Source organism: Homo sapiens, chromosome 5, assembly GCF_000001405.40.
Source record: "Homo sapiens chromosome 5, GRCh38.p14 Primary Assembly".
Classification (NCBI taxonomy): Eukaryota; Metazoa; Chordata; class Mammalia; order Primates; family Hominidae; genus Homo; species Homo sapiens.
This window is the reverse complement of record NC_000005.10, coordinates 68,440,436-68,468,168: the sequence shown is the minus strand read 5'-3', so window position 1 is coordinate 68,468,168 and position 27,733 is coordinate 68,440,436. Positions and strand designations below refer to the sequence as shown.

The following is a 27,733-nucleotide window of genomic DNA, read 5'->3' as shown; positions in this document are numbered from 1 at the left end:
GTCAGAATCACCATTGTGATAGACATTGGAGCCAGGGGGCATCCCTATAGAGACTTACTGAGAGAAGGGCACGTCAGGGAGAAAGGGAAGTCCTTCCCATAGGAAAACATAAGACTTGACAGGAATGAGCTCTTGAAAACAAATAGCTACTGCCAGGGCAGAGTCCATGGCTCCACACCCCTCACTGCCAAGCCTTCTGCAGAGCTCTCCTGCCCACTGGCAGGTTTATTATTTACTGAACACTTATGGAGCCAGGCACCATACTAGAGACTTGAGGTGCAAAGATGAAAACTTAGTCTCTGTCCTAAAGGAGATCGATGCTGGTATAGTGTGGAAAACACACTCATAAAGAAATATAAAGGAGTATTTTTAGAGCACACATCAGTATGTGGAATTGGGTATATTTTAATCTTTACTTATTCACTCTCTGTTCCCCACCATTAAAATGTAATAGACTTTGTACATTCACTGCTGTATCTGGAGCGCCCCAGCACATAGAGTCTAGGAAATGTTAGGAATTATCAATAACTTCTATCATGAAAGCGTATCAGAAAGAGTGCTCAAGGCTGCTGAGGAAGATTAAGGAAGAGAGGAAGCACCACATCACTATTATTCAATTCAATTTTGGTGGGTTGTGTTATTGGACAAGGATTTTGCACATATCCCTGTATTCATGCCCTTTGGCAGTGGGCTTAGCCATTAGACTTGTTTAGACAATGGGATAGTAGCAAACTTGATGCAAGCAGAAACTTGAAATGTGCTTAAAGGTGTCTGATTGCTCTCTCGGAACCTTGCCACCACCAGAAACACAAACCCAGACTAGCCTGCTGGGAGAGATGAAACTATATGGAACAGAGATGAGTGGCGTCAGCTGAAGGCCATCTTAAGCCAGCTAGACCCCAGGTGAGTGGGCAGCTGATTGCAGATACATGACTGAGCCTAGTCCAGATCAGCAAAACTTCCCAGCTGACCCACAGAGGTGTGAGAAACACCAAATGGCTGGCTTAAGCCACTAAGCTTTGGGGTGGTTATTACATATTGTGGCAGTAAATAACTGATACACCTACTGTCTCACTCAGCAAAAACCTGTAAAATAGTAGTTTTTACTACCACTTCAAATATACGAAAACTGGGGCTCAGAAACAAATAGGAGGGAAACAGAATTTCCCTTGAGTCTCCTGAGTCTTTGGACTTCAAATTTGGTCCTCCCGTCCTTAGGCCATAACTGCCTTGATGTTTAAAAACACGAGTCTAACAGCTCATTAGAGCCTACAAATTAATTATGTCAACAAGAGGGAGGAAAGGAGGGAAGGAATGAAGGAAAAGGGGAGAGAAGGAGGGCAAGAGGAAGGAAGAGAGGGACAGAGGTAGGAAGGGAGGAGTATGTGTGACCCCCAAGCCAATATGGTTGCTCCATGAATTTAGCCCCATGGGTGGTGCTTAGAGGATTCTAAGTGATGTCTAATATACATCACAGGCTAACTTAAGAAATGGGTTAAAGAGAACCTTTTAAAGAATGAAACAGGGAAAGAGGTAGACGAGACAGGACAGGATAAAAGATGTGTATGTTTCTGTGAGACAGATGAAATAATCCAACCTACTTTTGGCTGAGTGGCCAGGGAAAGACTCTCTCTGGGGAGGTAGCATTAAATCTAAGATTTGAATAACAAGAAAGAACTGGGATCAGGGAGAACAACATTCCAAAGCAAGAGGACAGCTGTGGCAAAGGGCCCAAGGCTAAAACAAGCTTGGCAAGAGCAAGGACCCAAAAAAGGACCCAGGTGGCTTGACTGAAGTAGTTGGCGGGGGGAGGGACAGATTTCATTTTCAGTGGCATCTGACATGTGTTTTTAAAAGATGACTTTAGAGAACGGATTGTGGGGAGAATGGATTGTAGGCAGGTAAACACAAAAATAGGAAGACCAGATAAGAGGTTATCACAGTTGTCCATGCAATGGGTGCTGGCTGGGTGCGGTGGCTCACGCCTGGAATCCCAACAGTTCGAGAGGACAAGGTGGGACAATTGCTTGAGGCCAGGAGTTCGAGACCAGCCTGAACAATATAGCAAAACCCAGTCTCTACAAAAAAAAAATTTTTTTTAATTAACCAAATGTGGTGGTGTGTGCTTGTAGTCCCAGCTACTTGGGAGACTGAGGTGGGAGGACTGTTTGAGCTCAGGAGTTCAAGAATCCAGTGAGCTGTGATCATTCCACTGTGTTCCAGCCTGGGCAAGAGACCCTGTCCCTGAAAAACAAACAAGCAAACAAAAACAGAGAGATGCTGGTTGCTGGACTGTGGTGATGGCCATAAAGGTGGTAAAAAGTGACTTTCTCTTGGAAGTTGTCAACCAGATGTAACAATGAATTGGATATGAGGGAAAGATTGGAATTATGAAAGACTCTCACGTTTTGACTTGAACAACTTGGCAGATAGTAGTGCCATTTACTGAAACATGGATGGCCACAGAAAGAAAAGGATGTTTTTTTTTCCAGAGTGGGGGATTAATAGGAAAAGGAGAATAAGGAGAAAAGGAAAGGAATAAAGGGTTAAAAACACAGGGCCAATGTTGGGGAGACATAGGGTAGCCTCCTGCAGAGTATCACTGCAAGCATCAGGGCTTTGGGCTGTGTGTCTCTCATCTGATGTTTTGATGTGTATGAATGATCCAGGAAGGTCTGATTGTTATGGAATAAAAACAAACAATTAAAAATTAAAATAGAACCACAGCACTGCTGAGGAACAGCCTGTTGGTAAACAGCAGCAGCTAAAGGCAGAAGATGCAGTGTCTGTTTTTCCTTCCCTAACCTAAGCACTGCACGCATGCGAGGCCAGCACTTTTTGGTGGTGGGTCTGTGGGTAACCACCTCCCTTTCCATACACCCCCTCTCTGCCACAAAGGAAACCAGAGACTGTTGGGTCTGTTTTCTAATAGAGCTCACACTTTTAAAGCACTTCAGATAATTGGTGACGACAGCTCAGTGAGGTGAACAGGAAAGATGCCATTATTCCCAGTTTTTAAATGAGGAATCTGGAGTCAGGGCCACATGGGTAATAAGTGGTGGAGCTGGGACTAGAACCTAGGTCTTTGAACACCTAGGTCAGTGTGCTTCCATGGCCCAGGGCTGCCCTTCTTTCCCAAGCCTGATTCTGTGTCACTGTTGGCCAGCCCTCTATGTTTTCCATGCCTGTTCCCCCACCTCTTTGGAACCTTCTCTTGTCAACTCCTCCTTCTTCCTGTCCTTAGCACCCACCTTTCCTCACTCCCTTCCTTCCTAACATGAACTCTATGGTTCATCCTTTCAATCTTTCCCTTGCAAATGTAGTAAAACCCCCATGATGGTACCTCCTGTTGCAGTGCGAAGTTAGCAGCCTGTAATTGGTGTTTGGCTCCCACCTTCCACCCAGTCCCTATCCTCATTTCACTAACCTAGTTATAACAAGGCTCTCCATTTTATGCAATTCAGTTTTTGGATCTCACATATAATGTTGTGGTGGGGTTTGACTCTACCATCAGCTCCTTTTTCCTGTGCTCTTTCATCATATCTGAATGACTCACTGTTCATCTTCTCAGGTTGAGCGCTCAGGCTGCTGGGCACTGCTGCGGGAAATCACCAACCGATCTGATGAGGCCAATTCCTCCCCTGCTGGGCCACAGGCACTGCTCTGAAATCCTACTCTACCTCTGGTTTGTTTTTCTACACTCTGTTTCAAATCTCTCTGTTCTCTTCAAACCTTGGATTTCTTGCTCGCTTTAAGGAGACAATGTAACTTCCTACTTCACAGAAATAATAGAAACCATTACATGGAAACAACTTCAATTTCTGGCCATGAGATCTATACAAACTTTCCTGCTTTTGTGTTCATCCTTTTGCTTCCAGGTACAGTGGAGGACATGGTCCCTCTCAATTCCAACATCTCTCCATCCACCCATGCCGTGGATCCCATCTTCTGTCTTTTAGCTTGTGTTTCCAACTTTCCTCTCAATAAGTTCAAGTGTCTCTTTTAAAACATAAAACAAAAACCCCTCCTAGACCCCCTTTGCCTACTCTTGCCATTCTTTTGTCAATCTCCATTTCTTCATAGTAAATTTCTAATCTTTACCATATTTTCAACTCTGATTCACCCTTCCACCACCTACCAAACCTGGCTTCCTTCCCCAATGCTCTAAGGACACCTGTTCCACTGACTAAGGTCACCAACAATCTCAGTGCTGCTACATTTGAGGAACACTTCTGCATCTGATTTTCTCTCTCAGAGGCATGGCATATAGTTAATCATTCCATACTCACTGTCATGACAGAGGCTTGACTTTGATGGCACCATTCCCGCTAGGTTTCTTTCTAACTAGCTGATAGGACCTTCTTTTATTCTGGGCTCCGCAGCCTCTTCCTCTACCCAGACATTAAATTTCCTTTTCTCATCTGACTCGCTCCTCAGATGATCCTGTCCATATCCTGTGCAGTGATAACTCCAGGAACTTGAACTACTGCCAAGAATTTTCTACTGATACTCATGGATCAGACTCATGGATCCATCTGCCCACTTGATATCCCCATGTGATAATAGGCCTCAAAAAGAACATGTGCAAACCTGAACTTGTGATCTTTCCCCTCAACACTCTACCCTTCCTTCAATGAATAAACCCTACCCCCATCCCTCCGCCATCCACTCAGTTTTGCCTGTAAAAATCCTCAGAGTTACCTGGACTCCTTATTAGTACTGTCATTCTTGCCTACTTAGCACTCATTCACCTTTGTACTGGGAATAGCTCTTCAAATTTCCTTTCCTGCTCACAATGTCTTTACTCCAGGTGAGATTAATCCTACCTGTTAGCTCCATGGGTAAACATGTTACCCAGGACTAGCCAATAAGGCTCAATTCTAGGAAGTTTCCTGAAACTATTGAGAAGTTGCCTTCTTCTGGAGTTGCTAACCTCTGAGGATGTGAACCTAGAGCTGCCAGCAGCTATTTTGCCACCACAAGGAGAGCTTTCCAGAGAGTGAAGCCATTACACCAGATAAAGAATTCAAAAGAGAGCTACTCTAGAAGACATCATCTGAACTCCTGGATCCAGCCATATATGAAGTATCTGATCTACCCCAAGGACTTCTCCTTCACTTGAATCAATAAATTTTCATTTAGGCTTAAGCCAGTTTGAATGGGATTGCAATCACCCCTACAGAAACAATGCTGACAGATATATCATCCTTAGCTCCTCTCCTTCCTTTACCTCTCCCTAACCTCTCCTCATCCAATCAGTCCTCAAGTCTTTTTGGTTCCACTTGCTGATTCACTAAATATCTCTGAAATCACTCCTCTTCAATCCATTCCAGCCATTACTTTAGGCCAAGCTATCATCTCTCAGTGGCGCAACCACAGTGGCCTTCTAACTGGTAATTCGTGCCCAGTCCTATCTCTTTCATGTACTCTGATATGGTTTGGCTGTGTCCCTGTCCAAATCTCATCTTGAATTCCCATGTGTTGTGGGAGGGACCTGGTGGGAGGTAACCGAATCATGAGGGCAGGTCTTTCTCGTGCTGTTCTCGTGATAGTGAATAAGTCTTATGAGATCTGATGGTTTTAAAAAGAGGGGTTCCACTGAACAAGCTCTCTCTCTTTGCCTGCTCCATCCATGTAAGCCATGACTTGCTCCTCCTTGCCTTCCACCATGATTGTGAGGCTTCTCCACCCACATGGAACTGTGAGTTGAATTAAACCTCTTTCTTTTGGAAATTACCCAGTCTCTGTTATGTCTTTATCAGCAGTGTGAAAACGAACTAATACATACTCTTTACACAATAGTCAGCCTGATCTTAGTAAAATATAAATCTCAGAGCTCTTCATTGCTCCCCCTTGCCCACATAATTAAGCCCAAAGTTGTTCACATGGCCTATAAGCTCTGAATGAGCTGCTGCATGCCTTCCTTTCCAGCTTTATCTCATTCCATTTTTCCCCTAATCCCCTTTATCCCAGCCATGCTAGAAACTACTCCTAAACCTCAGCACCTTGGCAAATGCTGGTTTCACTGCCTGAAACAGTCTTCTCCTTCCTCTCTTCTTAACCAGTTCTAATCTCAATGCCATTTCTCTGGAAAAGGCTGCTGTAATATACCAGACAAGGCCCCTTTATTTCCTGAGCCACCTCTCACACCTGGACACCTTATACTCTATCCTTTGCCTTTTCAGCATTTGTCTTTGTCATCACCTAATTAAGCATTTAATGTTAATGATTAACTGAAGGTCAGATTCCCTCCCTAGACTATAAGCTCCATGAGGACAGGGACCATGGCTGTTTGGTTCACCACTATAGCTTATCATAGGGCCTGACACAAGTTTTGACTGATTATCCTTTGTTCTGGGCTGGAGGGACAGGCAGAGGGGAAACTTAAAGAAAAATAGAGATGTTTTCCAGGCTTTTGAGCAGGTTTACAGATTTCATTTTAGACGAAAATCTTTACATTTCAGCAGTTGACCATCTGTCATACCATTAAGGCAGTATCTCTTGCAGGTGAAGATACAGCAAAAAGTTGGGCAATTTTAAAAAAAAAATCTGGTTTATGTAAAGAACAAAATCTGAAAGAGAAAAAAACAAAAGAAAGCTTCCCTGTTTTTTTCAACAAGGAGTTTCATGAAAAAAATAATAAAAGGAGGGAAGAAACCATGCTAGATTAAAGAGCTTTAAGGGACATAATACTAGATGCAATGCAGGGCCCTAGGTTTGAGTTCGGTTTGGACAAACCAACTGGAAAGGACATTTTTGGGGACGAGCAGGAGGAATTTGAATACAGACTGGGTTTTAGATAAGATGAAAATTTATTGGCAAGGAAAGATGGAGATCATTAACTAAAAAAAGCAGGTTACAAACAGCATGTACAACATGATCTCATTTTGGTAAAAATATGTATATGTATATTTATACACGCATAGAAAAAGCTTTAAGGATATACACACAGGTGTTAACAGTGGTAATCTATGGGTGGTAGGAATATGGTGCTATCGTTTTCTTATTTTTCTTTATCTGAATTTATAACTTTCGACAAGGCACAAATGCTGCTTTTGTAATAATAAAAATTAAAACATGAATTCATTTTAGAAAATTTTAAAGCAGGCTTAAGCAGACCCAGATTTTCACTGAAAGCTGTCCAGGACATTTTTTCTACGTCCTCCACCTTAGAAATGAATAATGTGTCCCAACTTCTGAGTAGGTCTCCGCATGAAGGATTAAAAATTTTTGCAGTCCTTGAACTAAAAGTGAATCAATCAGATATTGAGCATGCATACATTTTCCACTAGCAATGTCAGTAAAGGACCTTCACATCAGTAGCAGGAAAGGTTGCAAGAAAGTAACCCTCACAGGAGGTGCTCACATCATTACCAGGCAACTTCTACACAGCCATTTCCCACTCTAGTGGAAAAATCCACAGTTCATCAACTGTTAAGGATAGTAAGTACATAGAAAATTTAGAAAATGCGGAGTTCCAATGTTATCTGAGAAGTGAAGGAAAGAGAGTTTTGAAGAAAACCATAAAAGACTAGAAAGGTCACCACTGGACACTATTAAGCTGAATATCAGGGATTTGTAACCAAGCCCCAGCCTTATCCCAAAGGAACTGGAAAAGTTCCCAGCCATGGTGGTCCTTATATTCTTTATCTGTAAAATTAGGTCTAGATGAAGTCTAACATTTTTATTTGCTTCACAGCATGGTTCATTACATAACAAAATATTATGTTGCACACTAAGTCACAACATTAAATATAATAAGAGAATTTTGCAAATATCCTCTTCCTGGATTCTTACACGGTGGAGGAAGTTGCCTGTAGAGGGCACTAGTCAGTTAATAACATCTGAATCAGTTTGACTTAAAAGCAAGAAAGGACCTTAGGGGTCACATAGTGGATCCCTCTCTTACAGAGAAGAAACTGAGCCCTAGTGAGATTAGGCGACTTGCTCAGAATCACACAGTTGGCATTTTCACAGAGCTGAGATGGAAAAAAGAACTCTGGTTCATGTTAAAAAACAAAAACCAAACCCAAAAACCTTACAAAGGCCTAGAAATTGAATTGCATTTAGTTGTTCTTTTAATGAATCACCCACCGTGAAAAATAATAAAAAGATTACCACCACCATAAAAAAGGAGACCATCCTAGGAAGCCTACTCTTCAGGACACTAGGAGACAATTAATTCCAGTGTCACTCCCAGCCACAGGGTTATTCAGTGAAATTCCCTTGGCCCATAACCATTTTGTTGATAACCTTTGCTGTCTAAACATCCCTTTGCCAAATTTACACGGCACTCAGATTGCACTGGGGGACAGGATGGTATATAAGAGAGGGGACGGACTTGTTTTTCTTCCTCTCAGCCCCATCAACAGCAGTTAAGTGTCAACCAATGGATTGGATCTACTTCATTCACTGGTTAAAATTAGGCAAACAACTGGACTGGCAATGAGGCTCCCTGAGGCTGGTGTCTGGTTATTTCAGTCACCTTACAATCAGATTAGATCTATCCACCTTGCAAGATTGCCCCTTCCTTGCCAACATACTAGAAACCAGTTTATCTGTTCAAATACTGCATATGGACCCAGACTCTGTAAAACCATGACTAGGATGTTTGATGTGTTATCTTAGGGTTTTTCTGTTTGTTGCTGTTTTGAGAAATAGACATGTAGGTGGTAACATGCTGCAGTAGAACCATCGACTTTGGAGCCCACTAGACAAGGCTTAAATTCTGCCTCCACTTGTGTGTCAGCTGGGTCTCCTCACTGTATTGCTTGACTCTGAGTATCAGATTTCTCATCACGGTATTTACCTTACAGACTGAGGATTAAAGGAGAAAGTTCATATGAAGTGCCTAGATCAGCACCTGGCACTGTACAAATGAGTCTCCCACTTGAAGAATATGGCTGGCTTTCAGAATTAGGAGAGAGTAAGCAGTAGAATTCCACCATGTAATGAATTCAAGGTCATGGCTATTGAAGGAAGGTATTGTCTTTAAAACGTCCCATGAAAAATAGCTTAGATAAACATTCTAGTAGATAAGCTTCAGAAAAGTAATTTTTAACCTACTCCAAACTAATGCCATGGTGTTCTCATTGTTCCTCTACTTTTATAAACAGTGGCATTACTAAATTACAGCCTAAATTCCCCCATGCATTTTAGTGGTGATCCAAGAGCATGCTCAGTTAAAAACATGGGTGGAAGGATTTAGGAGAGTTAGCCACCTCTCCCTACACAATATTTCTAGGGTGCAGAGACAACACTTCTGCTTCCTTTTAAACCCAGTATTTGCTTAGTTTTCAGAAAGAATGAGGCAGTCCCCAAAGGCATGTTGGTCTAAGCATAGAAGCACCATAGTGATGGCATGTTTTCCTAGTTTTACACAGTTGATTTATACCCACTGAGTGCATAGTATGTCTAGGGCACTGGTCATGTATTATTTCATTCAAACTCTACCACAACTTGATGAAGGAGTCACTATTATCAACTTCCATATATTGATGGAGAGGCTGAGGTTTGGAGAAAGTATGTTGCTCACCCAGGTCATGCAGGTGTCAGTGTGGTGAAGCCAGGATGGAGCCCAGCAGCAACATCCGAGCCCCTCCTTCTTCCTGCTGCCTCTTTAGTCTCTTTTTTTTTTTTTTTGTATTTTATTGGCTTTTCTGAATGTGGTAATAACGGGCAAAAGGGCAGGGGCAAAAAATCAAGGAACTTAAGGAATTCACTGAGATCTAAAACGTATTTATATCCACACAGTCTACGTTAACATGATTTTACTATTCCAGGATCTTCATCAGCATAACTTTACTGTTCCAGAAAACTCTTCCTCAAGAAGATAACAGTTACAAATAACTGTATTGTTCATTCCAGGAATTTCCCCAAAGACACATCAACTCGTCAATAGAAAGCATTCAAGGAAAATTTTAAAATTTGAGCATTTCCGAGTCTTTGCCCTCAAAATCTTCATCTTGTGTTTGCCCATTCTAAGTGATTAGATTATGGTCCTCACTAGACCCCAGCCAGGGCTCCCTGGCTCTCACACTAAAAGATACACATTGGAAAAAATCCAGACTTCACAATCTCAAAAATACTCCCAACTTTGCTCCATCCCCTACCTGCACCCCGAGACTCTAGTGAGATTTTTTGTAAATAGTGTTCTCCATTAACTTTAAGCCATCAGTTCTCAACTGGGGATGATTTTGCCTCCCAGGGGATATTTGGCCATGTCTGGCAACATTTCTGGTTGTCATGACTGGGGCTGCTCCTGGCATCTAGAGGGTAGAAGTCAGGAATGCTGCTAAACATCCTATAATGCACAGGACAGCCTCCTCCCCTAATAAAGACTGTCCAGAATCAACAGATTATTTTAATAATATTTTGGAGAGCCACTAATTAGCAATATCTCAGTTAGTGCTACGAAGAAGCTTCCCAAACTCTGAACCCTTCTGGTTATGTTTTTACTCTCTTGATTGCCAGTGTTCTTGCAGGTTCATGAGCCCCAAATCCATGAAGCCCGTCCTTAAGAAATTTCATTCCCAGAGGCTAGACTGCAGACATTTACCTACTCTTCTTATGATGGGGGTTTCCATCTCCTAAGATAGGATCACTTGGTGGCTCGGTTATTTTTTTTAAGACAGGGTCTTGCTCTGTTGCCCAGGCTGGAATGCAGTGGCGCAATCACGGCTCACTGCAGCCTTGGCCTCCCGGGTGTCAGGCGATTCTCCTACCTCAGCCTCCCGAGTAGCTGGGATTGCAGATGTGAGCCACCGCACCTGGCCAAGTTATCTTTAATTTCTACATTGTGTATTGTGTATCAGCTGTTTGAAATGATGAACCTGAGTCCACAATTTTTTTAGAAGATGCTGTTAACTATCTTAATAATGGCAGCATTCCTGAGGTTGTGAAAATGACTTTACTGAACAGGAAGCATGTTTTCCTTATAGACAAATAGCACGAATTCATATTACTTATAAAAGATACTGCCTCTTGAAATTAGCACTTTGAATTTCACCTTTTCGTCTAGATATTTCCACTGGTAACAAAATTTCCCTGGAAGTCAGTGTTTGGAGTTATAAGATCAATTTGTGACCCAAAAATATAAACGGTCTACCTTTTATCCTGTTTGTGATGAGTGAAAGGCAAAAGTAAACAGAAAAAAGAAACCTGATATGACTTCACTCTTGAAATATTGTGCAATGATTTTCTGAAGGTAAGTAGCAGGCTTTGTATCTTGAGAACCTAACGAAGTTAAACAGCAGTCCTCACTCTGGGCACAGAAGTCACAGCTTACAGTACTGGAATGAGGCCCAGGATGATGTCATCCTGGGCAGAGACCTTATCCGTAACCCCACAGTGCATTTGTATTAGGCAGTGATGTCTCTGTCACCAGGAACTTCACTGAGCCTTCCTGAAGCTCTCAAGCATGTCATAGAAATATTGTCCATCTCAAAATTTGCCCTAGAAAGGAACCAGGAAGTTTTCCTTTTTGAAAGTTCTTGAGATGATATATGTCTTGAGTCTTGTGGGGATTCATTCAAATCCCTGGAGCTGGCATAAAGATTTTTGAAGTGAGAACATTTGAGCTAAAGAAGATACAGAAAAAAGTGTTATCTCGACTGCACTTACCTGACTAAAGCAGGGCCTCCCGAAAATACTGCTGCCATTAACCCCCATCTGAGGGGGTTTCCTGGAATTTCGCTGCCAGGGAGACAGAGTGTCCATTGCTATTAGCATCAAAAACCTCAACAGAACCTTCCATACCTTCTTATTGAAGCCCTAACCCCTCTACCCTTTGTTAAATTTTGTATATGAACCCTTTAATCTCAGGCTATTGAGTGAGTTATTATCTCTGAGAACTCCTGTGTATGTGTAAATCGCCTATCTTTTCTCCTGTTAATCTGTCTATTGTCAGTTAACTCATGGGCCTTCAACCACTGGAACTAAATTGGATGAGGAAAAGTTTTCTCCCAATAATTTTGGTGATGAGGATGGGATGGCTGGGACTCTCTGCTCCTCCAGAAAGTGCAGCTAAGATGTCAGGATCTCTGACTATGCTGACAAAGATAAATTTCTTAGCAGCCAGGTTCCCAGATTTCTGCTCAGAATCCCGTCAAGTGAGGATGGTAAGACCATCTTTCTGTCTTTTCTTCCCAAGATTTAGATTTCCGGGAGAAAACACTCAGAACTTATACTTACTGTATTGTGACTTGGTTTGAATACTTTTTAAAATAGATCTTTTCCTTCCCAGGGATAGCTCCTGTATCCTTTCTGTCTCATTTTGTGTCCTGATAGTTTGGTTTGGATTCAGTCAGAGTGCTCACTCTCTGGCTTTCTGCATGCTGTGGGGTGCAGATTGTCTGTTCTGTGCTCAGAAGCAGCCAATTGTCAGGTTGGGGCTCAAGCATTTGTAGTTGACTGAAGAGAAATTTGGGTATCCTGGGCATCCCATTTTCAGCTGGCACCGTGCCGACTGTTGCCAGTGCTAAGGGGGTTTGTCTAAGTTCTCTTTCCTATTGTCTTGCTAGTGGAGAGAAGTCCCATCTCAGTATTACCTGCCCAGAGTCATGGATTCGCAGGTACATGATCAAAGTCATATCATTTTTATGGGCAACTGGAGACAGGAGTTTTCACAAGTATCATTCTTACTGCCTATAGCAATGATGATCTTTGCTTTCCTTCTCTTTGGCTGTCTTTGGAGTTGATTTTGGATCATGGGAGCTGCATCTTCTGCACCCTCTATGGGGGTGTTTCCTGTGTCCACGATTAAGCCGTAAAATATGTTTATTCATTATGAGTCACATTTTGGAAAAAGTGTACCTTTGGAGATACTAAATCATCAATGGCCACACAGCAGATCCTTTGATTTGGAACAACTTTTAAATTTGAGAGGATTTTCAGAAAGCTCTCATCCTAAACAAATGTCCTGTTACCAATATGGGAGGATCAGAATGAAAGGACATTTAAAAAAAAAAAAAAAAGTATCACAGCTAGCCTAAAAGACTCCCTTAACAAAACTAAAGAACAGAAATCAGATCTAGAACAAAAATTGAAATTCACACTCACCATAAACTCTCCCCGTCCCCTGCACCACTATCTTCCTCCTGCAAATGGCCCAGTTGGAGGCTGATATTCAGGGCCTGAGAGGAGCTATTAAAGATGTTTTCCCTTCCGTCTTCCCTCCCACTCTGAAGGTTAATTGGGCTAAAGTGGAGCAATGTACTCAGAGGAAAGGAATACATCCTAAAGTCTTTGTTGAATGACTTATAAAAACATTCCAAAGACACATAGCTCTAAATCCAGAGTCCTGGATCATTGAAAATCTCTTGGTTTCCACCTTAGTTGGAAATCTTATCTCCAATATAAAGAAACAAATTTAAAAATATTGTAGTTGGATAGGTAGGCCAATTCCTTAATGCTATTATTGAGGCTATCTGCTATGGTATGAATGTTCGTTCCTTCCAAAACTCATGTTGAAATGTAATTGCCATTGTAACAGTATTAAGAGTTAGGACCTTTAAGAGATAATTAGGCCATCATGGGTGGTATTGGTCCCCTTATAAAAGCATGAGTATGACCCCCTCTTGTCCTCTCTCTTGCTTTTGCACCTTCCACCACGGGATAATGCAGCAAGAAGGTCCTTGTCAGATGCCAGCAGCATGATGTTGGACTTCCCAGCCTCCAGAACTGTGTGACGATACATTTCTGTTTATTATTAATTACTCACTTATAAAACCACCTTTGCAAAATTATAATGGTGAGAAAATTGTGACAGTGAAAGAGATCAGACCTAACTGACTCCATCTTGCCTTTAACCTCCAAACTGCCCTTGTTCATTCCTGGGCATAGGCCAAGTTAACTATAGGAGGAATTAGTTTATAGGTTAACTTTGAAACAAAGATGATAACAGCTCTTTCCTGAAGCAAATCTTCTTCTTGACTGGGGACCAGACCACCTTCTTAAAACTAACAAATTAGCCACAAGATTCGAAATTATAGTTCAGGATATGATGCAGCCAAGATTCCTAACCTCCCCAGTTGCTCTTATGGATAAGAGAACTATTGTAAAACCTAAGATTAGTGTTCCAGATATCTCTCAGACCCTGCATTCTGATGGACCAGCTGGTGCCACCCAGACTGGTAATCTGGCTCAACCAGTTCTGCGATCCCACCCAGAAACAGAAGACAGCAAGAAGAACCCACTTGGATCCCCCTATAATTTCATCTCTGACCCAACCAATCAGCACTCCCCACTCCCTAGCCCCTTACCCATCAAATTATCCTTAAAAAACCCTAGTCTCTGAATTTTCAGGGAGATTGATTTGGGTAATAAAACTCATGTTTCCCATTTGGTTAGCTGTGTGTGCATTAAACCCTTTTTCCTTTGCAATTATCCTGTCTTGATAAATCATCACTATTTGAGCAGGAGGTAAGAAGAACCCTTTGGGCAGTTACAGTCTCGGATATTGTTATAGCAACACAAAATAGACTAACACACTGTCCCCTAATTCTTTGAAGAATTAAAAATACTGCCCTCACCTTACTAATTAAGTCTTTACAAAGACAGTAATAGGGCTCTAAGGATAACCCAAAGCCCACCTATATTTCTTATCAATCCCAAAGCCTCTCCTATTTATCTCATGATGCTTGCTGATACTTTAAAGAAGTCAGGACATTAGAAAAGGGAAGAATTATCCAATGAGAAGATATACTTAACCTTCCCTATGTTATATTTGTATGGGTAAATGCTATGAATATAAGTACATCAGAAAGTATATGAGTTAAAACGCTTATTGTCCATATGTCCTAATATAATGTTAGTAGTCATAATTCCAGTTACTATCTTAAATGTTTTATGTCATCAGAACAACCACATATCCTTGTCAATTGCATTATTTTTATAACAAACTCTCATCAAATTTTTAGCCATTGCCATTTTGTCTTTTTTCGTTCACAGGGAGTTATTGTTTTATTCTGATGCTTTCCTGAAAGCTCTTCCAATCAGCTGTAAGGCAGAATGCATCATCTTCAGAACAGGGAACATTTTAGAGACCCATAGAAATGACTGGTTATCCAAGGTAAAGGATTCTGATGGCTCTGCATAAATGACTTTGAGATCATACCACTGGACTGAGTAAGAATTTCCAGAATTCTAGTGGAGAGGCTGATGGGTTCATAAAACTGCTAACCCAAGATAGAGCAGAACAAAAATAAGTTATCATCTGGGACTGAATGAACTGATGAAGATTGATTATAATTTTTATGGGTTTTATTTTTGTTTGGAACATTGCTGGTTCTTTAATATTCCATTTTCTGAATATAAAGAATTCCTTTCTCTTTTCTCTTAACCTATTTATAATTGACAATTTAGTAGATTATATCTTATAAACAAGAATGAAACATTTATATTTTTCTCCCTACCTAATCCCTACAGAATTCAGAAACTCATATTGAATATTCTTATTTTTATGGTGATACAGTTTTTTGCACAGGTTCCATAAGTATCTATTCTCCTTGTAACCGGACATAATTGAGGAAATTAGTTATATCACCAAGGCTTTAACTGAAATGTCGTATTTGAGAATGATGTGCATAGAAACAGACATGACTAGGCAGTTTTAAGGAACTAAGGTTGACTTTGTGGAGCCAGTGTTCACAAAGCCCTCTTAGCAAAACTGACCTTGTACCTGGCTTACAGTGTCCCCCGCCTCACAGATGAGTAATGAAGATCACTTCCTGGCAGGCCCAGGAGCTTTAGAATGCTTTGGATACCTCAACAGGAGAGGATTTCACCCAAATCTATAGGTACTGCAGATAAAGTTCTGATGACAAGTTCTTGGCTTGGCCTCCTAGCCAAGAAAGGCTTTTAAAAGTCCAGTCTGAGATTCCTTATAAAACTTCCAGCAAAGCAAACTTTAAAAGGCCTGTGTGGTCAATTACAATTCTTGCTTCATTTATTACATGATCAGGACATATTTAACGAGGCTAGGCTTATTTTGTAAATAAGAGTAATCTTACTTTATCTTTTATAAAAATGGAGGTGATTGAAGAGAGAAATTTTATGTTTCAATGGAAAATTATAACACCCCTTGTGAGTTAGCAGATTGTCGTTCTGTTGATTGTCTTTGAGCTATTTTTCATCTCTTCTAAACTGGATTCTACCATCTTGCACATTTTGTCAATAATTAACACTTTCATTTTTCCCCCATTCTCCTGACTTGTTATCACTGAGAACTAGCACTGCCTATTTCTTGAAGCTCTGAGTGCTGAAGCTGGACAACTTGATATAGCTTCAAAAGATTGATAACCACCACAACAATGTGGGATACCCAGCAAGTTTACCAGAACATGTGCATCTTCCATGCCCTGCTCCAGCAAATAACCATTATTGTGACATTCTCACTACCATCTTCACTCAAGAGGCTTCAGACTCAACATCTAGAAAACTTCTCAACTGGACTGGCTGCCTTCTATACTCAGAAATTGGTTCTGCTCGGTTCCAACCTTTAATCTTCATTTTTCTGTCCCTTTGCAGATCTCTTACCTCACAATTTCCAACATCAATCACTCTCCACAGCAATCAAACTCACTTTTTTTTTTTTTTTTGGTGAAATGTCCAGAATAGTTTCAGATGAAGGACATGTGGGGACCCACTTGGACCCCTAGACGTGATATAAAGATAATTTTTAAATGAAAATGTTGGAGCTAAAGAAGATTCAAAAAGAAATCTTATCTGAAATTCTCTTATCTGATTAAGTTAGAGTCTCCAGAAAATACAGCTGCCACTAACCCTCCTCCTAGGAAGTGTCCTACAAATTCAGCTGACATGGAAATAGACTGCCCGTTTCCACTAGCATAAAAAAAAAGTCCAGTAGAACCTTCCATACTTTCCCTAACCACTCTCCCTCCTTCTTGGTTAAGTTTGGTATATAACCTTTTTTCCTCTGGCTAATGGGTGAGTTACTTATTACTGAGTATTCCTGCCTGTAAGTATAAATAAATCATGTCTTTTCTCCTCTTTTTTTGGAGGGGGGAGGGTGGGGGGTGGAGTTTCACTCTTGTCGCCCAGGCTGGAGTACAATGGTGCGATCTTGGCTCACTGCAACCTCTGCCTCCCGGGTTTAGGTTATTCTCCTGACTCAGCCTCCCAAGAAGCTGGGATTACAAGCATGCACCACCACTCCCGGCTAATTTTTTTTTTATTTTTTGTAGAGATGGGGTTTCACCATGTTGGCCAGGCTGGTCTTGAACTCCTGACCTCAGGTGATCCACCTGCCTAAGCCTCCCTGGGATTACAGGTGTGAGCCACCATGCCCAGCCATCTTTTCTCCTCTTAATCTGTCCATCATCACTTAATTTGTGAACCCCCTACCACTGGATTCAAGTTGCAAGAAGAAAAATTTACCCCCCAATAGTTTCCTCTCTGCTTACTGTCAGCAGCATTCTCTGTCGTGACTACAAAATTATCTATTCCTGTATGTGTGTGTGCACACACGCATGTGTGTATTTACAGAGACCTGGCAGCCCAGTGGGTTGTGACTGAATGCCTTTAGGAATTTCCTTGGGGAATCAAAGCTTATTAAAGTAGAAACACTTCCCAGAAGATCAGAAATCTATCTTCAAACCAAGCTTGTTCCCCTGCTTATTGCATCATCAGACCAGGCGGCTTAAAATAAATAATCTATTCAAAGCGAACCAATTACAAAACTCACCTTTCAACTCTTAGTTTTGGGAAATGGACTGGAAGGACTCCTTCAATGGTAACTTGACCATGCTGTCTCTCTGATGACATCGTCTTGGAATGCTGATAAACTTCTTTTAGTATACACTTTAGGGAGAAGACAGTTGTCTAAATTAATGACAATCCTTGACAGTTGTGAGCTTTTGTGTCTGGTGGACTGGAATCCTTTCCTAACTCAATCACTTTTTAGTTTTGTAATCTTGAGCAATCCTTTAGCCTTTTTGAGGCTGCCTCAGTTGGCAAGGTGGGAGAAATAACACTTAACTTGAAAGATTTGGGGGGAGCATAGGATGAGATCAATGTATGCACTGGTTCTTTTCTTTCCGTCTTCTCTTTAAAGTTCTTATGAAATTATTTTGGCCACAAAATTATTAATAATACTTTATAGGCAGCAAATGACACAGCTGTTCCCCCATTATAACACACACCATCCTCCAGTTACTTGATATTCTTCACCTATTTTCCTGCTTCCCTTATTCTGGAAAAAAGATCGTACACACTTTATGTGGACAGAAAACAGTTTCTCCTATGAAAACCAAATAAAAAAGAAAAGCAGAACGTAACGTTTATTTTTGGCCAATTACTAAATTTTAAAAACCTTCCCTCTTTGATTTCATGAAGGTTTTCTAGTGTTCCCTTTAGCTTGTGTCTGATATGGAGTCTGGATCCCTTTCTCTGTCTTTTTCTTGCATGTCTAAATCTCATTATAGCTGGCTCTATCACCATGACCTGAGCCACCCTGAGTCTGGACTGACTGCATCAGGCAGTAAACAGGCCAAGATCTTTCTGGTCAGAGCTTGGCAGCACGAATTTAGGAAGATGCCAACATTGTTGCCAAATGGATGGCTCATATTTTCCATCTTTGTCTTTGTGGATGCCAGTCATGTGTTCCCTGTGGTGCCCAAATTGTGCAACAGACACTGGAGGCTCTGCGCCAGCACAAGGGCCTCGGATGGGGTTAGGCCTTCCTGATGGGCATAGGCCTGGATTGAGCCAGTGGATATATGTTCAGCCTGAATAATCAGCTATGGTGGGCTAGACAAAGGCTTGGCTGGGTATATGAAATCAGAAGCGAAGGCTGAGAGCGGCCCTAGGAAAGGAAAGATGGGATGGGTCAGAAGGGGGAACTTGGGTTGGCACTGATTGTTGAGGTGGGTATGGCCACCAGGCTGGGCTCAGAAGGATAGAAGTTGAGGAGTCAGGTAAGGCCACAGCTTGGATATAGCTAAAGACAATAACTAAGATCATTCCAGATGCTTCTCAAGGGAGATGTGGTGCTGATGGAGGCTTCCATTCACTGAAGCATGGCTTAGAGTTTCTCCCAGCAGCTCCGCTATGGGGAAATCAATCTACCTGTTTTCTCTAAGACCTGGTGTGCAGTGGGCCAGGGCAAGGAAAGGGGGATACTGGTTCCATTGGAACAAAAGCTGAGTATTCTTTGGGTCAGGGCCACTGAGTCTGGGTAAGCAGTGCTGTCTCCTGAGCTGGACTCTGAGGGAATCTAGATTTCTATTCATTCTTAGGGCTTGGAGAAAGGTCCCTGCCATGCGATATCTAATCAGAATGTGGATATGAGAAAATTAGTGATTTAGGAAAAGTGTTCTTCAATTTACATCTGTATCCATGTGAGAAGGAAAGAGGAAGAGGAAGAGGAAGAAGAAAAAGTAGAAGAAGGAGAAGGAGGAGGAGGAGGAAGAATCACTGTCCTAGAGTATATCAACAATTGTGAAACCCCTAAATCAATTTATTAGCCCCAGATCTGGAGCTTCTCTTGACCTGTAGTTGGTCCCTCCACCTGGTTTGTGGCTTATAGAACCCTAGGGATGGCATATAGTGGTCAGGGGGAGGAGAGCAGGTGAATGATGGGGAGGCACTACCATGAGATCTTCAGCCCCCTGTTGAAGGGGTACATATCTCTCAGGACGCCCCAACATCTTCCAGAACTCTTTCCAGAACTTATTCTGAAACTCTTCTGAGTCCTCTAAGCATCCCTAGGAAGGACGTTTCTGGTCTAGATAGCAGGTGAGATCCTTCCTTTGCTTTAGAGAAATGAGGTCAGGAAGCTTCTATGACCTCTTTGGTAGTAATGTCCACACAGAGAGTAAAACGAGGTTGTTGGATTGCAGGAGGCAGGGCTTGGATGTCCTGGAAGAGTGCCACATCTTTCCTTAGAGCTGCTTTTTGTTCTGATACTGAGGTGGCCATCACTGGCCCCAGACCCTGTGGCTCAGCCACGTCCCAACAAAGTGTCATTCTAGAGGGAGAGACGGCCTTCCTGAATGACTACATTCTAGTTCCTGAAGCCTGCCCTTGACTTTTTCTTGATTAACTTCCCTGAGACTTTAGGAACATTATATGCACTAAGTACATAAATTAAAAGTCTGCATGTAATAGTCTCTTAATAGGCAAATAAGTCTTAGTCCCAAAATGGAAAAATATTGCCCTACAGTACGTCTGAAAAAAACACACAAGCAAACCTGAGCCTAAACCAAACAAATAAACACCCTTGGCGTCTTCAAACTTTGCTATAAACAAACAAGAGACCTTGCAATTCTCAGCAGAAATGTCTTGTGCACATCAAAGCAAGATATAGGTGCTTAAAGCTTGTCATGGGTACTGTAATACCTTCTGGATGTGAGGCTACGTGCAATGTAGGGTGAGGGGAAATGTGTAATATCTGTGGCCCAGGCGAAAATGACCTCATCTATCTGTATCATCTCCACCCACAAAGCGCTTCTTAGATTGAATTATCCAGGTGATTGCTTTATCTCTCCACCATGCATTCCACATATAAAATTATCTTAACATTAAACACTGTGCCATTCTTAAAAATGGAACCCAAGCTCTTATAGCATTTTACAAATCTATAGTTTGATTTGTACTTCCTAGAATTATTTTTTTATAACATCGCTTTTTAAAAAATTCTCAAGAGTGTTGATTTGCGAGGCTGAGCTCCCTCAGGAATAGACTGACCTCCAGCAACTGTTCATTCCACCCCTAGTAGGAGCTTGAATAATGACTGAGTGACAAAGTGTCCCATTCAGTTATTATTCAACTATATTAAATTGCTAAAGTTGGTAATTGGAGCATATCTTATTACAAAGGCAAAAGTTCAACATTTTTCCCCAGGCACAATAGGCTTGCACATTTGAAAACTTCTGGTCTGGTAAGGAATAAGATGTCAGGGCATGGAGCATGCAACAAATTAAACAGGGGAAAATATATTAGCCAAACCCAGGCACAATTACCAAGCATTACTTTGAAGATATTTACCAATCTCAAGCTCTTTTAATAGGGATGGGAGAGATAAAGTAGAAGGGGATCTTGAAAATAAATCAGTATTCCTAAGCTCTAGGAGGCTGACACAATTGAAAACTGTCATTTAAAATATACTGGGGGCTAATAATAGAAGGTAAGTACAGGTTATTTACAACCTACTGTTTATCCACATTGGTTGGCACTCATGCTGTATCAATTATTGAATATTTTGAAATCTGATTTTATTAAAACTCATTTGGATCTACAGTTATAGGCTATGTATTGGAAGTATCATTTGGGGTCTGACTGAGATGTCCAAGTTTTTCTAAAATGGTACTGCACAGAAGGAGCAGTTTTACTGAGACAATAGGAGCTTTGGGTACCTGTGTGAATGTGGTCACACCAAGTTACTGCTTCAAAGAACAAGAAACGAATGCTGTGAGAACTGCAGAGACCACAGCCTATAGTGGTATTCCCCAAATGGGCCTGATCAGAAGACTCATTTGGGGGCAGTTGTTTAATAATTTAGATTCCCAGGTACCTTCTCTGGAGATTATGATTACTAGGTCTGTCTAGGGGAGGCCTAGGAATCAGTATTTTTGACAGTAGTCCCAGTGATTCTTTTGATAAGACAAATTTGGGAAACAACTATTGACATTCATAATGCTACCATTCATTCATTATTTTAATTATTTCACAATTACTGTGGTATTTTTCAAATATGAACCTAGATTCCCCACATAAAATCACCTGGGCTGTTTGATTAAGATCCTGGGCTGCAGCCCCATTCCAAACCTACCAGATAGATCTCCAGGGATAAGATCCAGAAATCTGCATTGTAAATGAGCCTCCCAAGTGATTCTTAGGTAATAAAGTTAGGGAATACTTGCAGTGTGTGTCAAGCACATCGTATGTTTCTTCAAGGTGTCCATTCTCAGTCAATAGGCAACAACCACTTCATTTAAACACCTACTAAGGCAGGAATCAGTGAATGACTTGTGTAGAGGTGATGTAAAGTGTGAAGGGAGAGTGGCAGCTCTTCCTGCTTTAAACCAGCCATCCACAGGCTTGTGAAAGCAAGAAGGGAGGCTACCCTTCAGACAGAGTGGCCAGGTTTTGGGGCACACGGGAGAGGCAAGTGAGGCCCAGGCCCTTTAAGACTCTGGAGTCTGTGGATGTGGCCAACCAATGCCTGGCTGGACCCAAAAACCCCACGACCTCAGGGTCAAGGGCTAGGGCACTGGTGAGAGCTCTCACTCGGAATTTCCTGCTGGAGTGCTAGACCTGCAGCACATAAATATACTTTACTTTTCTTTCTTCTCCCATTTCCTTAGTTTTGTTTGTGGAACAGTATTGGAGCCTTCCCAGGCATTGTTTCATTCTGACACCATAACAAGGTCTGCTCCCTATTCACTTTCTCAGTCAGAAGCCTGTGGAGTGTTCATTGTTCCTGTGGATTTTTACTGATGCACAATTGTGTTTAAAATAACTTGTCCGAAGTACGTCTGGAAAATAATAAGTACATTTATTTTAAGTAAATGTTGGCAGGTGATTCCAATTCTGATTTTCTTTGATTGCTCATGCAAATGAAAATTTAGGTGAATGCCCCTCTGGTTTCAAATGGTAAGAGTAACAATAACAGTAATAAATAAGGTACTCAAGAACTTTGAGGGATTGTTAACTCTAGCATAGGATTTTGAGTAAAAAATCGGAATGGACCTCAATTTCCTCATCTGTAAAATGGGAATCATAAGACCTGCCATAGCTACCTTACTGGGTTGCTGAAAGTCCAGTAAGTCTATAGTATTGATGCTTGGTGAACTATATATAAACTTTTTACTTTACACACACATTGGTTGTTGGTTTTAATAATTTTTTTTCTTGATACTTTTTTGCCCTCTGGCTTTAGATGTCATTGAAACATTTTTACACAGCATCAGTCAACCTAAAATAAAGCATTGAAAACTCACAGGAATTTGGGTAAAATTTGCTTATCATTGCAATTCCCTCCATTACAGAGAAAATTGCTTGCACCAAGATATTTTATTTGTTAAGGTCTGAGAAGGCGGAAGTATGATCCAAATAGCAAAGGTCCCAGTGGCAAATGAAAGGCACTTGGAAACTATGGTGCATTGTTCTGTTCTTCTGGAAGGCAAAACACTGCCGGGACGAGGACGGAGCCATTCCAAGTGGGTGATGAAATTTACTTTATTGACATTATCAATAAGGATGTATTTATGGGAAACAAACATGAAGTATAGCTCACACTTACAGGATTTGGCAGGTAAGCAAAGCGAAGTGGGGTGTCTAATCATAAAGCCCAAACCTTTGAGCTTGCTTGGCATTGGTTTCAGCTCTGGATAGCTGTGTGGGCTTCACGTCATTCTCTTCCTCCAGGAAGCCTCAGCTTTCTCTTGCATAAAAAGGACATAAAGCTCTCCAGTACACTGTAAGATCATAGAAGATAATATTTTGTACTTGAAGTTAAATATCACACATAGTTTATCCAGTTACTAGGTAATAAATATTGCTTCTTTCATGTGGGTTGAAATCCAGAAAGATACAGAATAGAGTTAGAAAGTGCCAAGTGGAACACAGGTCTCTTGAATATTTTGGCTGTGTAATACAAATATCTTACTTTTGGTTTTCTTTTTCAAGGATATCCTATTATAAGATCATCAAAAGGAAAATAAAAGCACCCCTCTTTAGGTATGTAGATGAAAAGGAGCTTTATCCTTCCAAATCACCCTCTCTTTCCACTTCCCAGAATCTTATGAGAACAGTGAAGACTTTGGTACATTAAATGCAAGTTCATAAAATAATTATGGCCATGTCTTAAATTCATGCATGTTATTACAAGTTGATGAATCATTGCTGGTTCCTGCAGAATTTTTGTAACTGGAAAAAAAATGTTAATATATTGATGGTTAGAGTTGCCAGATTGACAAATCCAGAGAACAAAGAACTTTTCTTTTAGGATTAGGTAGGAGTCATAGCCTGTTTAAAGCCGAAGGAAACTTTAAAACAATCAGTTATAGATGAGAAAGCTGGTGCAAAGATGCAGGTAGTAACAGTAATAATAATAAACATTTATTGTGTTTTACATACTAGATTTGTACTCAGTGATTTGCATGCATTATTTCCTTTAATTCTCAAAACAACTTTGGAAATAGGTGCTATTACTAATGCTGTGTTAGAGATAGGGAAACTGAAATTTAGAGCGATTAAGCCACTTACTCAAGGCTAAACAGCTTGTTGATTCTCCTGAGCTGCCTTGATGAGAAGTACCATTCATTCATTCAAATAATTAATTAACATTTATTGAGCACATATTATATGTCACACATTGTGCTTCACACTGGGAACACAAAGGTAAACCAACAAGATATGATCCCATCTTTGCAGTGTGTGCAGAGCAGTGGGAGAGACAGACATATATCAATGGTCATATCAACACATAATTACAAAGCAGAACCAGTAGGTTTTGTTTGTTTGTTTGTTTGGTTTGAGACAGAGTCTCACTCTGTTGCTCAGGCTGGAACTGCAGTGGTGTGATCTCGGCTTACTTCAACCTCCGCCTCCCGGATGCAAGCGATTCTCCTGCCTCAGCCTCACAAGTAGCTGGGACTACAGGTGCCCGCCACCACACCTGGCTAATTTTTTGTATTTTTAGTAGAGACGGGGTTTCACCATGTTAGTCAGGGTGGTCTCAATCTCCTGACCTCGTGATCCGCCCACCTCAGCCTCCCAAATAAACCAGTAGTTTTTAAGGCAGAGTTCAGGATCTGTGAGAACAACGAAGTCTTTTTTGTGCAAGGAGACAGAGTGGCTTCTCGGAGGATGTAACTGTCATACTGAAACCTGAAGGATTAGCAGGAGTTAACTAGAGAAGTTTAGGGGAATGTAAGAGTGTCTCAAATTGGGTGATTCAAGTACAAAGGCCTTTGGCTGGAGTGCAAAGTGCTAGTGTGGGGATGGGAGGTGGTGGAGAGAGATGAGAGGAAGGCAGGGGCTGATTCTTCAGAACAGTGAGATATTTGGTCTCTAACATGAGAACAATAGCTTTGGGAATTATCTTCACAAAAGGTCACCATGTCCTGCCAGTTACCTAATATTACAGCCTTTCTCCAGGTTTCTTCCTCCCCAGATGTCTGGAGCACCCCAGAGCAATGGCCTTGGGTCTGATAGTCCTATAGTTCCCAGGTCCTTCAAGGTCCTCCAAGAACCTCAGATGCTTTCTCTGCCCCATTCCTCTCCTACCCACTTACTGTAAGACTACAGTACACTCTTTTAAAGTGTTCATGTGTGTGTGTATCTCCTCAATGTTCATTCTTGCTCATTTTCCCAAATGCCCAAACCTTACATGTCGGACTGACTCCATTTGGTGAAGCCACTGAAATTCCTAGAACACATTTTTAAAAAAACAATATACCTGTCAAACCATGTAGTTTTATCTCATGTTTATTGATATATTTCATTAATAGCTTCAAAACTTCTATTACAATCTCACTTAGGTTTGGAAGACAATGCCCCAGTACCACCATCCTTACTGACAAAAACTATCCTTTACCCATCGTCTGGCTGCTAAGACATCTGTTACAGCTTCTTTCTTTAGTCAAAAGTATTCTCCAGTCTGTTAAAATAAATGAATAATCTGAAAACATGGAACATGTAAGTTATCAATCATTTATGTCATAATGGAAAGAGTTTTGGATCTTTCCCATGGGCAAGTTTCGATAGAAACAGAGGGGAAGTGCAGAAGGTCACTGAGCTCCTGGCTGAGGTGGGAAGGAGAGACAAGGAGGGTGGAGGAGGAGAGTGGGGAGAAGACGTTCACCTCTGTGAAGCTGACAGCTTTTAACAAGGTCACTTTTCTTTCTTTCCTATTCCTAAATATGATTTATTTATTCTTTGGTAATTATCCATTACATTGAGTAAATTTCTGGTTAATATTTTTACTGTGGTTTCCTTTAGGCTGTAATTATCGGGAAACTTTTGATTAAAAATAGTAACTTAAAATATAAACACTTAACCCTGGCTATATAACCAACCACCCAAATAGACTTACATTTTTTTCCTATTTCAGTTATTTTCTATTCAAATACAGTAAAACATTTTAAAGGAAAAATGTGCCCAAAGGCATCATTTGGCTTAATGAGAGATGCTACTCTGGAAAAAAAAAAAATTAGCTAAATTCAACAGCGGCGTGATTCAAGATGATTGACACTTGAGAGTGGGCATCCAAGTTCCTTTCACGAATAGTAGGGGGAGCTTGGCTTCAGCTGAACATTTACTTACCAGTGTTTGTGCTACTGGTTTCCAGGCAGTGTATAAATTACTGCTTGCTTCTGTGTGGTGCAGAAAATAAAGGCAAATTCTTTCTTTTGGGAGGCAACCAGTCTATACCTGATTTATTGGATATGGTAACACTGGGCCGACTAATGAGAGGGATCAAAACGAGCCATGACAAAATGGCAGTGTGCTAAATCAGGAAGACTCTGCAATTCTGCTGTTACACTGGGGCTTACTGCTTGGCTGGAAGGAAATATGCTGTAGTGGTTAGAGGGAAATGGTCTTTCTGTTCCAAACCTGTATCTCCAGCAACTTTGAAGTGGTTTATAAAGTTATATTTCAAGCTATGCAGCCTCACACCAGGTGTTAACCAAGGGGTAACTGTTTGTTAAGTTTCCTTCAAAGGCTGTTCAGGGACTTTGAACAAGTGGAAAGTGTCTGCTGTTTGGGGATTGCCAGCATTGTTATGGGTACAAAGTGATTCATCCCCACTGAGGAACAGCCACTTCTGGCCAGAAAGAGGTAAAATGGGTCACTGTGTCAAAGATAGCCAAGGAACAGGAAGAAACTCAAGACAGAGCTACCCAGATGGGGGGCAGCTGCAACACGATGGCGGTCCAAAAGTGTTGCTTGAGTTCTGGTTAGCAGGTGCATGGGGTGCCTAATGAAAAGTGGATAGAAGCCATGGGAACATGGGACCCCAATTGTTTTTTTCTTTCTGTTCCTTAAAGGGAAATGTTAGCTAAAAGCAAAAAATTATCTTTCCTTTATATGGAAAGCTGACCAGTTGTCCTGTGTCATGCCAAATGGAGAAACACAACAGCTAGCATGTGTGGTGGTGGAGTGAAGTGGAGGTCAAACAGAGAAGAGTTTGACTAATTACTCTTGGAAGGGAAGGTTACTTGGTATATTTGATCAAGCTTGTAACAATGCCATTGTAAAAAAAATTTTGCTCTTTTCCCACATACCAACCTCCTTTTTTTCAATCAAAGCCATATGATTCAACCAGAAATTTTGCTTGACAAGCATTTGAAGAGGCCAGAAGAGGATGGCAAGGGAGTGGTCTGAGGGCCCCAGCCTTTCCCACTGTCCCATTCCCTCTGCATTTTACAAAGCAGATCATCCCTGGAGAGGAATCAAATTCCTGTGAATCTCCAGTAACTTTTCCAAATTTGTTAAACATAAAAAAGACCAGGAATGAGCATAGGCCAAGCTAACCATGGGAGGAATTTAGTTTATAAATTAGGTTTGAAGCAAGGATAATAATAGTCCCTCCCTGAAACTGATCTGTGCCATATTCAGGGGCTGAAACTGTCTTTGTAAGACTAATGAAAGGCCACAAGATTACAATTATGTAAGGGGCTGAATTCTGTTAAAATGTAGGTATAATTTCTATAATCTCTTACTGCTTAGGAGTCATGTGACTAGCGGTCACAAGATTTGTGACTTC

At 41.2% G+C, this 27,733-nt stretch overlaps 1 long non-coding RNA gene across 4 annotated transcripts in view, besides 5 other annotated features; it reads left to right on the top strand.

Annotated features, from left to right (window-relative positions):
- Positions 1-27,733, top strand: part of LOC105379013 (uncharacterized) — a 406,546-nt gene that overhangs the window by 364,689 nt on the left and 14,124 nt on the right. Inside the window, exon 1 of one of the 4 annotated variants that reach the window (XR_948413.3) lies at positions 10,742-23,275. The exons of the other annotated variants lie outside the window; for them this stretch is intronic. This is a non-coding gene — a long non-coding RNA (uncharacterized LOC105379013). Of the gene's footprint in view, positions 1-10,741; positions 23,276-27,733 lie in introns of those variants that run through there. 4 annotated transcript variants of the gene reach the window in all.
- Positions 1,793-2,087: a silencer, noted in NCBI's record as "tiled region #5137; K562 Repressive DNase matched - State 8:EnhW". NCBI's record gives its function as "represses a minimal TATA promoter and a strong SV40 promoter by Sharpr-MPRA in K562 cells {active_cell/tissue: K562}" and the evidence as "EXISTENCE:reporter gene assay evidence [ECO:0000049][PMID:27701403]".
- Positions 15,513-15,807: an enhancer, noted in NCBI's record as "tiled region #12221; HepG2 Activating DNase unmatched - State 9:DNaseU". NCBI's record gives its function as "activates a minimal TATA promoter and a strong SV40 promoter by Sharpr-MPRA in HepG2 cells {active_cell/tissue: HepG2}" and the evidence as "EXISTENCE:reporter gene assay evidence [ECO:0000049][PMID:27701403]".
- Positions 15,513-15,847: a biological region, named in NCBI's record as "Sharpr-MPRA regulatory regions 11081 and 12221".
- Positions 15,553-15,847: an enhancer, noted in NCBI's record as "tiled region #11081; HepG2 Activating DNase matched - State 9:DNaseU". NCBI's record gives its function as "activates a minimal TATA promoter and a strong SV40 promoter by Sharpr-MPRA in HepG2 cells {active_cell/tissue: HepG2}" and the evidence as "EXISTENCE:reporter gene assay evidence [ECO:0000049][PMID:27701403]".
- Positions 26,839-26,918: an enhancer, noted in NCBI's record as "active region_22634". NCBI's record gives its function as "activates an Ori minimal core promoter by ATAC-STARR-seq in GM12878 lymphoblastoid cells {active_cell/tissue: GM12878}" and the evidence as "EXISTENCE:reporter gene assay evidence [ECO:0000049][PMID:35858748]".